The sequence below is a fragment of the Homo sapiens genome, chromosome 1 (genome assembly GCF_000001405.40).
Source record: "Homo sapiens chromosome 1, GRCh38.p14 Primary Assembly".
In the NCBI taxonomy this organism is placed as follows: domain Eukaryota; kingdom Metazoa; phylum Chordata; class Mammalia; order Primates; family Hominidae; genus Homo; species Homo sapiens.
In genome coordinates, this window is record NC_000001.11 from 221,954,552 (window position 1) to 221,966,216 (window position 11,665).

Here is an 11,665-nt window from a genome sequence, read left to right on the forward strand (position 1 = left end):
TCAAATTGGAACTCAGGATTAAGAAACTCACTCAAAACCACACAACTGCGTGGAAACTGAACAACCTACTCCTGAACTACTGGGTAAATAATGAAATGAAGGCAGCAATAAATAAGTTATTTGAAACCAATGAGAACAAAGACACAATGTACCAGAATTTCTGGGACACATTTAAAGCAGTGTGTAGAGGGAAATTTATAGCACTAAATGCCCACAAGAGAAAGCAGGAAATATCTAAAGCTGATGCCCTAACATCACAACTAAAATAACTAGAGAAGCAAGAGCAAACAAATTCAAAAGCTAGCAGAACGCAAGGAGAACGAAGATCAGAGCAGAACTGAAGGAGATAGACACACACAAAAACCTTCAAAAAATCAATGAATCCAGGAGCTGTTTTTTTTAAAAGATCAACAAAATTGATAGACCACTAGCCAGACTAATAAAGAAGAAAAGAGAGAAGAATCAAATAGATGCAATAAAAAATGATAAAGGGGATATCACCACCAATACCACAGAAATACAAACTACCATCAGAGAATACTTGAAACACCTCTATGCAAATAAACTGGAAAACCTAGAAGAAATGGATAAATTCCTGGACACATACAACCTCCTAAGACTAAATCAGGAAGAAGTTGAATCTCTGAATAGACCAATAACATGTTCTGAAATTGAGGCAATAATTAACAGCCTACCAACCAAAAAAAGTCCAGGACCAGACGGATTCAGAGCCGAATTCTACCAGAGGTGAAAAGAGGAGCTGGTACCATTCCTTCTGAAACTATTCCAATCAATAGAATAAGAGGGAATCTTCCCTAACTCATTTTATGAGACCAGCATCATCCTGATAACAAAGCCTGGCAGAGACACAACAAAAAAAGAGGATTTTAGACCAATAGCCCTGACGAACATCGATGCAAAAATCCCCAATAAAATACTGGCAAACCGAATCCAGCAGCACATCAAAAAGCTTATCTACCACGATCAAGTTGGCTTCATCCCTGGGATGCAAGGCTGGTTCAACATATGCACATCAATAAACCTAATCCATCACATAAACAGAATCAATGACAAAAAAACACATGATTATCTCAATAGACGCAGAAAAGGCCTTTGACAAAATTCAACAGCTCTTCATGCTAAACACTCTCAATATACTAGGTATTGATGGAACATATCTCAAAATAATAAGAGCTATTTATGACAAACCCACAGCTAGTATCATACTGAATGGGCAAAAACTGGAAGCATTCCCTTTGAAAACTGGCACAAGACAGGGATGCCCTCTGTCACCACTTCTATATTGTTGGAAGTTCTGGCCAGGACGATCAGGCAAGAGAAAGAAATAAAGGGTATTCAATTAGGAAAAGAGGAAGTCAAATTGTCCCTGCTTGCAGATGATGTGATTGTATATTTAGAAAATCCCATTGTCTCAACCTGAAATCTCCTTAAGCTGATAAGCAACTTCAGCAAAGTCTCAGGATACAAAATCAATGTGCAAAAATCACAAGCATTCTTATACACCAATAACAGACAAACAGAGAGCCAAATCATGAGAGAACTCCCATTCACAGTTGCTACAAAGAGAATAAAATACCTAGGAATCCAACTTACAAGGGATGTGAAGGACCTTTTCAAGGAGAACTACAAACCACTGCTCGATGAAATAAAAGAAAACAAAAACAAATGGAAAAACATTCCATCCTCATGGATAGGAAGAATCAATATCATGAAAATGGCCATACTGCCCAAGGTAATTTATAGGATTAATGCCATCCCCATCAAGCTACCAACGACTTTCTTCACAGAATTGGAAAAAACTACTTTAAAGTTCATATGGAACCAAAAAAGAGCCCACATTGCCAAGATAATCCTAAGCAAAAAGAACAAAGCTGGAGGCATCACACTACCTGACTTCAAACTATACTACAAGGCTACAGTAACCAAAACAGCATGGTACTTGTACCAAAACAGAGAGATAGACCAATGGAACAGAAGAGAGGCCTCGGAAATAACACTACACATCTACCACCATCTGATCTTTGACAAACCTGACAAAAACAAGAAATGAGGAAAGGATTCCCTATTTAATAAATGGTGCTGGGAAAACTGGCTAGCCATATGTAGAAAGCTGAAACTGGATCTCTTCCCTACACCTTATACAAAAATTAATTAAAGATGGATTAAAGACTTAAATGTTAGACCTAAAACCATAAAAACCCTAGAAGAAAACCTAGACAATACCAATCAGGACACAGACATGGGCAAGGACTTCATGACTAAAACACCAAAAGCAATGGCAACAAAAGCCAAAATAGACAAATGGAATCTAATTGAACTAAAGAGCTTCTGCACAGCGAAAGAAACTACCATCAGAGTGAACAGGAAACCTACAGAATGGGAGAAAAATTTTGCAATCTACCCATCTGACAAAGGGCTAATATCCAGAATCTACAAATAACTTAAACAAATTTTACCAGAAAAAAAAAAACAACCCCATCAGAAAGTGGGCAAAGGATATGAGCAGACACTTCTCAAAAGAAGACATTTATGCAGCCAACAGACACATGAAAAAATGCTCATCATCACTGGTCATCAAAGAAATGCAAATCAAAACCACAATGAGATACCATCTCACACCAGTTAGAATGGCGATCATTAAAAAATCAGGAAACAACAGATGGTGGAGAGGATGTGAAGAAATAGGAACGCTTTTACACTGTTGGTGGGAGGTAAACTAGTTCAACCATTGTGGAAGACAGTGTGACAATTCCTGAAGGATCTAGAACTAGAAATAACATTTGACCCAGCAATCCCATTACTGGGGATATGCACAAAGTATTATAAATCATGCTACTGTAAAGATACATACACACACATGTTTATTGAAGAACTATTCACAATAGCAAAGACTTGGAACCAACCCAAATGTCCATCAATGATAGACTGGATTAAGAAAATGTGGCACATATACACACCATGGAATACTATGCAGCCATAAAAAAGGATGAGTTCATGTCCTTTGCAAGGACATGGATGAAGCTGGAAATCATCATTCTCAGCAAACTATCACAAGGACAGAAAACCAAACACCGCATGTCCTCACTCATAGGTGGGAATTGAACAATGAGAACTTGGACCCGGGGTGCAGCAAACCAACATGGCACAGCAAACCAACATGGCGCATGTACACCTATGTAACAAACGTGCACATTGTGCACATGTACCCTAGAACTTAAAGTATAATATATATATAAAAAAAAGAAAAAAACTTTGTTCCTCCCCTGGCCTAAAAACTTATCACCACCTACATTAAAGCTAATATGCCTGATTACTATTTTTAGCGAACTTATTTTATTAGGGCAGTTCCAGTCTCAAAAATATGCTAACTGGCACCTTGGTAGCCACATAAAAATGTGCTCTAGACCCAAAACTTACTGGACTAACTCATTATAAAATTAAATTTTCTTTAAGGTGTCCACAAGCAGTCCCTGGTCATGCCTGAAGCAGCCCTGAGAAACATCGCCTCTACCCCCCTCCAAAAAAACCCAGAAGGAACTTATATTATTTATCTTTCCTTATGACTTTTTATTTTATAAATACAAGACAAGAATGTCAACCCTTTGAGCCGGAGTTAAGCCACTGTAACCCCTGTGACCTACACATATACATCCAGATGGCCTGCAGGAGCCAAGAAGTCTGGAGCAGCCAAAAAACCACAAAAGAAGTGAAACAGCCAGTTTCTGCCTTTGCTGATTAACCAACCCTACAACATTCCACCATTATGACTTGTTCCTGCTCTACCCTAACTGATGAATTGACGTTATGACATTCTTCTCCTGGACAATGGGTTTCATGATCTCCCCACCATGCACCTTGTGACCCCCTCCCCTGCTGACTAGAGATAACCACCTTCAACTGTAACTTTCCACTGCCTACCCAAGTCCTATAAAGCTGTCCCTCTGGTATCTCCCTTTGCTGACTCTCTTTTCAGACTCAGCCCATTTACACTCAAGTGGATAAACAGCCTTGTTGCTCACACAAAGCGTGTTTTAGGTGGTCTTCTATACAGACATGTGTGACATTTACTATCAGGCTCAAATATAATTTGTCATTTTATAAATTTAAGGAACCAAAAATAAACTTCTGTTAACAATTAACGTTTCAGTATTTAACCTTATTTTGGAAATGACTCAGACATTTAATGAATATTTACTACTTAATTCAATATAACATACATTTAAGATTTCATTTATCCACAAAAGGGATTCTTAAGACGATTTTTAAAGGGAGAAGTTTTATAAAACATGACCTTTTTTTTTTTTAATCTGAGATGGGGTCTTGCTATGTTACCCAGGCTGGAGTTCAATGGGGTGATCACAGCTCACTGCAGCCTCAAACTCCCAGGCCTAAGTGATCTCCCATCTCAGCCTCTCAAGTAACTAGGACCACAGATGTTCACCACCATGCCCAAATAATTTTTAATTTTTTTGTAGAGAATGGTCTCACTATGTTGCCCAGGCTGGTCTCAAACTCCTGGGCTCAAGCAATCTTCCTGCTATGGTCTCCCAAAGTGCAATCACACCCCGCCCATAATCATTGAAAAAGCTTATATGTAAACTTTTACCTCATTCACATTCATCTAATTTACTCATCTTTAAAACTTATGTTTGAACTGTTTATAAAAATTGTAGGAGACATTGAAGAAAACTAGCCATCATCTCAAGTTATTTCCCTTTTAACTATTTTTACAGTGTGCAAATGTTAGGCAGTAGCCACCTAAGCAAGTACCCTAAAGTTAAATACATGGCTATTTTATTGATCAGAAGACACAGCTGTTTTTGTTAAAGCAAAAATATTAAACTAGTCAGATTTACCCAAGTCACATGCACTAAAAGGCATCTGAGTTAATTTCTACTTTTCTGATAAAATATTTTAAAGTGCTTACTTTTTCCTTTAAGCTATTAATTACAGCTCGTTAATATATTTTCAGAGAGAAATATCACATACACATAACCCATATGAACATATAGACACACAGACAGAAGCAGGTCTTATAGCTTTTATAAGATTATTTATTTCTCAATGTTAAAATAGTTTCTCTCTCCATTTTATACCATAAATCTCCCAATCATCTGTTTCATTGCCCTAAATAATAATTAGGCAACCCTAAATTTGCACTTTCGAAGACACGACTCTTAGGTAAAACAAAGTAGAAAATTTATATCTCAAAGGCACAGAACTTAGATCTCAACACCATTACTTCCCCAGACAAAGAACAGCATAGATATAGGTCCAGTTGAGACAAAATGGCCAGGAAAAGCACCTTAAAGGTAAGGTTTATTATGTAAACTTTATACCCATGTCTTCACCATTGTAAAGTTTTTAGGGGTTTAGGTGAATAGAGGGACAGGCCCTTACAAATGGAGGTTTTCATTATAGAGATAAATATCTTTTACAAAAAGTTTCAAAATAGCCAGTCAAATGTCAAAAGTTGAATTTTTTGGACCATATAGTTGATAGGTAGTCTTTTGAATTTATCTTACTTGTTAGTTAGATTACTGACTTCAGGATGAAGCCCTGTAACTAACATGGCAAAAAGGCATTTTCTATGCCTGGATTCAAGAATAGAACTTGATTTCATATTCCCTACAATATAAATTTTCTTCTTTATCCAAAGGAGTGGTTGTCCTATAATAGTGGGGTTGAAAATGGAAATAGTGGCTCTGGTGTCTACCTAGATTGGATAACAACCGGTAGAAGGTTAGAGCAGCTCCCTCTAAGGCCCATCAATCCTGATAGTTAACATGGAAATTATCAGGGAGTGAAAAGGCTGTTTTTAGGGACTTTCCTTGAAATTTTGGGAGTAGCCTCTTTTCCAATGTCCTGGTTGTTTGCACCAATAGCAACTGCTGTTTTAGGGGTTGCTTGTTGAAGAAGTGCTCTGGGGTAGACCCAAAGGCCATTCTAGGTTGTTGGTTGGCGTGGAGCTGAAACACATTGGAAATGGCTTTCAAATGCTCAATTGTGATTTTTCAGGTTTTGTTAGGCCTATACATGGACCAGGTAGGAGCTTGTCCAGTAATACCATTCTGCCTCTTTTATCCATTTCTGGGCTTCACCAGTTTTCACTAGTATGTGAATTAATTGGTAAAGATCAAATATCTTGAGGTCATAAATTTCAATTAAGACCTTGAATTCTTCAGAAACCTTTTGAAGGCCTTCCCTAGATTTAGCAAAATTTTTAACTATGGCGCTGAGTTCTATTATCACCTAGGGAGTGTAAGTCACTCTGGGATTATTTCCTGAATTTTTGAGTGGCTTTAAGCAAACTGTTTAATTGTGGTTTTATTTTGTTTTGTTTTGTTTTGTTTTCAGAGGAGAAAGCCAAGTCAGACTGAGAGTTAGTAGACTAAATACTCAGGCAAAGTGGGATAGAGAGGAGCAGTAGGAATTCTGTCAGTTTTACTGTTCTTGATGTGGATGATATCTTGCATTTTTAGCTTTTTTGTATGTGTGTGATGGCGTCTCGCTCTGTCGCCCAGGCCAGAGTGAAGGGGTGCGATCTTGGCTCACTGCAACCTCTGCCTCCCGAGTTCAAGTGATTCTCCTGCCTCAGCCTCCTGAGTAGCAGGGACTACAGGCGCATGTCACTATGCCCAGCTAATTTTTGTATTTTTAGTAGAGACAGGGTTTCACCATATTGGCCAGGCTTGTCTCAAACTCCTGACCTCGTGATCCGCCCACCTCGGCCTCCCAAAGTGCTGGGATTACAGGCATGAGCCACTGCACCCAGCCTTTTTAGCTTTTTATTAGTTCTTCACAATTAATTTAAAAAAAGTTAGAATTCTGTCTCTTTGAGGCTTCTGAATGCTATTAATAATTAGAATGACATTCTCTCTGCTAAATTTGAGAGACTTGAGATTTAAGTATGCTTGTCAAATGAACAGCCTTATTCATCTGGAATGTTCCATATAATGGCCCTGTAATTCTGAATTATCTTTAGTAAGATTTTGCCACTTTTGTAAATATTTGCAGCTTCCAAGGTCATAGCTCCTAGACATGAAAAAGGCAAGTACACCAGAAGGCGAAGTACTCAGATATTTATAAATTAAGGATCCCATTTTTATGTATGATCTTGGGTCTCTTAGAGCTGACATGGCTTTAGCTATAAGACCTCAGCATATAAGAAGAGAAAAAAATAAAGAGCCCCCCTTCAGTAATAACTACTTATTGTAACTGCCATCAGTTACCTTAAAAACTGCAGCTTTTTTGCCAGTGACTCATCAGTCACCACAAACCGAAAGGTCATGTGCCCTGCCACAGCACAAAGCAACCCTTGGTAACACACAGTCAAGTGCTCTTTCACTATATAAACTAACCCTTTGTACCCCAAAGGCCAAAGATATTAGGGAGCTCAAATGCAAAAGACAACAGAGCTCCAACCTGAGAGGAACTTACTTATGACTCCTGGAGCTCCATGAGAAAGACAGAGGAACCCCTTCACCCCCGCCCCTCCAAAAGGGACTACAGCATTTTTCCTATGTTTCTCAGAAGGTCTCAGGGTTTTCAGCAGTCTCCTTCAGTTTCCTTTGTGGTCACCAGATTTGCCAAAGGACAAAATTACACGTTTAGTTTGAAGATCTCGACTAGCTTTATTGCAATTCTAGGATTGGGCAATGTCTCATTCCATAAAATAGAATAAGTGTCCCAAAGAGTTGAGCAGAGGGGATTCATTTTATAGACAGAGGGGGTTGAAGAAACCAGAAGCAAAGAACAAAATGTGGACTCGTCCTTTGAAAGTTACCTCCCTTACAAGGTGAGAACAAGGAAACAGAACAATAGAGAAATAACAGATTTGTTAGCATCAGGTTACGTCGGGTTACTTTTGTTGTAAGGATTAAAACAGAGGGAACTTCGTTATCCTGCTCATTAAAGACGGAAACTGGTCTGCTTGGAACATTGGCTGTTACTGCTCTGTCCTGATTTTGGGGAAGATGAAATAACAACTTATTTTCAGTTTGGTGATATGGAACTTTGGCATGGGTGACTCCATTTTGATTTTTAGTCTGGTCTGTTGGGGCCTAATACAAAACAATAGCCTTTCATAATTTTTACTTAACATTAGGAAATAAGACACAAAGCTCATATCTTTATCAAATCTAAGGGTCTTTGGTCCATTGACCATTCATGTGCACTCCTTTTGACATTTTTCCCAGGCTGACTGTGAATTTAGCATAGTTCTGATTCTTTACTTGCAATAACAGCAGTTACTCTGTGACAGGCACTCTTCTCAGCGCTTTTCACCCAGTAACTCATTTAATCCATACAAGGTCCTGTAATAAAGGGACTATGGTCTACATCTTAAACGGGCAGTACCTGTGCAAGGTTGGTGAGATCGTTCTCCCAAGCTTGCACAGCAAGAAGGATCAGGATTTGAACTCAGACCCAGGACCCAGATGCTTGACCGATTAAGCCAGAGCAGCCTCAGAGCCCAAGTTCCAGAAAGTGTAGGGGAGAAAACAATAAATTTTCTCTTTCACCTTGATGAGTTTTTTCTGAGCTTCTCTGTAAAAAAGACAAATTAACAAGAGAAAAACAAACAGAATTCTGATAAAATGTGTACCTATGGGAGACAACCCAGAGAAATGAGTAAATCTCTGCAGCAGATCTCAAAGAATTATCCTAGACCTCACCCTTAAGTACTATCCTTCTCTGAAACAAAGAGAGAAGGCTGAGGGGAATGATGCAATTAAGAAATGTTGGCCATGGCTGGGCATGGTGGCTCACACCTGTAATCTCGGCACTTTGAGAGGCTGAGGCAGGCAGATCACAAGGTCAGGAGTTCGAGACCAGTCTGGCCAACATGTTGAAACTCCATCTCTACTAAAAATACAAAAATTAGCCAGGCGTGGTGGTGGTTGCCGGTAATCCCAGCTATTCAGGAGGCTGAGGCAGGAGAATTGCTTGAACCCAGGAGGCAGAGGTTGCAGTGGGCCAAGATCATGCCACTGCATTCTGGCCTGGGTGACAGAGTAAGACTCTGTCTCAAAAAAAAAAAAAAAAAAAAAGAAAAAGAAAAGTTGGCCAGGAAAAGCACCGTTAAAGAAGCATAATATTTGATAACTAGATTTAAGTTGATGCCTTCTCTAGGGAATTAGTTCTTCTTTTCTTTCTGATGCAGAAAGGAGACACCCTTACAATGGAGGTTTTCTTTACAGATGTAAATTTATCTTATGAAATCATAACTGTTTTCAAAACTAATTTGTTTTCAAAGCTTCTCTGTGTTTGCTATTTCCCAAAATAGCTCAAAATAATCCTTAGGCCAAAAAGGCATATTTGGGGTAGTATGTCCTGAGCCCCATCATTAGTCATCTTTATTACCCTGGCCAAAGGTCTCCTTGCTCATGACAGTCAAAGACTAAAGGACAGAGGGAACTTTTTAATAATGAGAGTTTGCTGACATGCACACACGTGTCATCCACTTTCTGATTAAAAAAAACAGAGAATACATTACTGTGGCCCAAACCTGACATTTTAAGCCATTTGAGATACCCAATAGTCTAGAAAGAATGCTCCTGAGAATTAAAATGAAAGAAATGTCTCCAACCAAATTAGAGACTACTAAATGAATCTTATTAAGAAGCCAAGTGGAAACCCTATCTCAGAGAACAAATTAGGACATAGAAATCAAATTGCCGGCCGGGCGCGGTGGCTCACGCCTGTAATCCCAGCACTTTGGGAGGCCGAGGCGGGCGGATCACGAGGTCAGGAGATCGAGACCATCCTGGCTAACACGGTGAAACCCCATCTCTACTAAAAATACAAAAAAAAAATTAGCCGGGCGTGGTAGCGGGCGCCTGTAGTCCCAGCTACTTGGGAGGCTGAGGCAGGAGAATGGCGTGAACCCGGGAGGCGGAGCTTGCAGTGAGCCGAGATCGCGCCACTGCACTCCAGCCTGGGCGACAGAGCGAGACTCCGTCTCAAAAAAAAAAAAAAAAAAAAAAAATCAAATTGCCATCATTAAACCAAAAACAAAATTCTAAGTCCCTCAACCAACTGAATGGACCCCCTTCTCTCAGCCAAGGGCCTTCTAAAACACTAAACCTGAAACACTAGTTCAGGCCATGATGGGAATAGGTGGTCAGGCATGTCACATTACACTTTCCTCCCTGTGGAATTCAGGCACATCTGACCAGTATTTACATTCAAACAGCAACTTTAAGATTGACAAAACAGACTCTTTGTAGCAGTAAGATATCAACATGACAGATGGCAGGCCCTGAAATAAATAGAAGTATTTTACCCCAAAATATATTTCTTTGACATATTTTGAAATGACCCTGCAAAGTTGTTTCTTGTGGGAAAAATCCACATTCTATAGAGAATCCCCTTCCCTTTCCAGGTCTTTTTCCTGATCCAGGAGAGAATTAAGAGTCTGGCACCTTTTTAAGTCTTATAAGAAACATTTACTATTATCTCTGAAGCCTGCTACCTAGAGGTTTCATCTGCATAATAAAAACCTTGGTCTCCTCAACCCCTTATCTTAACTCAGTCACTCCCTTCTATTGATTCCAGGCCTTTTGATAAACTCAACCAATTGCCAATCAGAAAATCTTTGAATCCACCTAAGACCTGGAAGTCCCCCCACACCTTTGATTTGTCCACCTTTCCAGACACAACCCATGTCATCTTAAAAGTAGTGATCGACATCTAATGTATATTAATTAATAAATTAGATCGACATCTAATGTATTGTGTCTCCCTAAAATGTATAAAACCAAGCTGTAGCCTGACTACCTTTGGCACAGGTTCTCAAGATCTCTTACGGCTCTTTCATGGGCCATGGAAACTCATATTTGGCTCAGAATAAAACTCTTGAAATATTTTACAGAGTTTGACTCATTTTGTCAACACCATGATTTGAGCAGGCAGCTCAAAGGGTAAATCCAATGAGGAAATAAGGATAAAATAATGTGTTCTGAGCACCTATTCTTTGTCAGGCTCTTTGCCTGTGTTATCTTTTAAAATCTGCACAACACTGAGAAATAGGCAATATTCCTATTGGGGCACAGAAAACAAAACCCCAACAGTTCAGGAACACAGAGGAAACGTCTTCATATTTTACACAAGTGAAGGAGATATCACAAGCATGAATGCCCTGAAAATGTTCCCCCAGTTTTCTGTTTAGTTCTGTTACTTTCAGGGTAACAATATTATTAATCATCTCTACCACTAATTGAGTGTTAGCCACATGCACCTAGCACTGTGCTAAGCGCTTTATATGCACCATTTCATTGAATGCTTGTAATTACAATGTGAATTATTATTATTATTTATTATTAACCTTATTTTACAATGAGACAACTTATTGTCAGGCCTCTGAGCCCAAGCCAAGCCATCGCATCCCCTGTGACTTGTGCCCAGATGGCCTGAAGTAACTGAAGAATCACAAAAGAAGTGAAAGACCCTGCCCGACCTTAACTGATGACATTCCACCATTGTGATTTGTTCCTGCCCCACCTTAACTGAGTGATTAACGCTGTGAATTTCCTTCTCCTGGCTCAGAAGCTCCCCCACTGAGCAGCTTGTGCCCCCACTCCCCCGCCCCTGCCCACCAGAGAACAAACCCCCTTTGACTGTAATTTTCCATTACCTTCCCAAA

The 11,665-nt window shown here is 39.4% G+C and overlaps 1 long non-coding RNA gene across 1 annotated transcript in view, besides 1 other annotated feature; it reads right to left on the reverse strand.

Annotated features, from left to right (window-relative positions):
- Nucleotides 1-11,665, reverse strand: part of LINC02257 (long intergenic non-protein coding RNA 2257) — a 64,876-nt gene that overhangs the window by 40,907 nt on the left and 12,304 nt on the right. The gene's annotated exons all lie outside the window — the stretch shown is intronic.
- Nucleotides 10,933-11,545: an enhancer, noted in NCBI's record as "NANOG-H3K27ac hESC enhancer chr1:222138826-222139438 (GRCh37/hg19 assembly coordinates)". NCBI's record gives its function as "activates a minimal SCP1, AML or CMV promoter by ChIP-STARR-seq in naive H9 embryonic stem cells {active_cell/tissue: H9 hESC(naive)}" and the evidence as "EXISTENCE:reporter gene assay evidence [ECO:0000049][PMID:30033119]".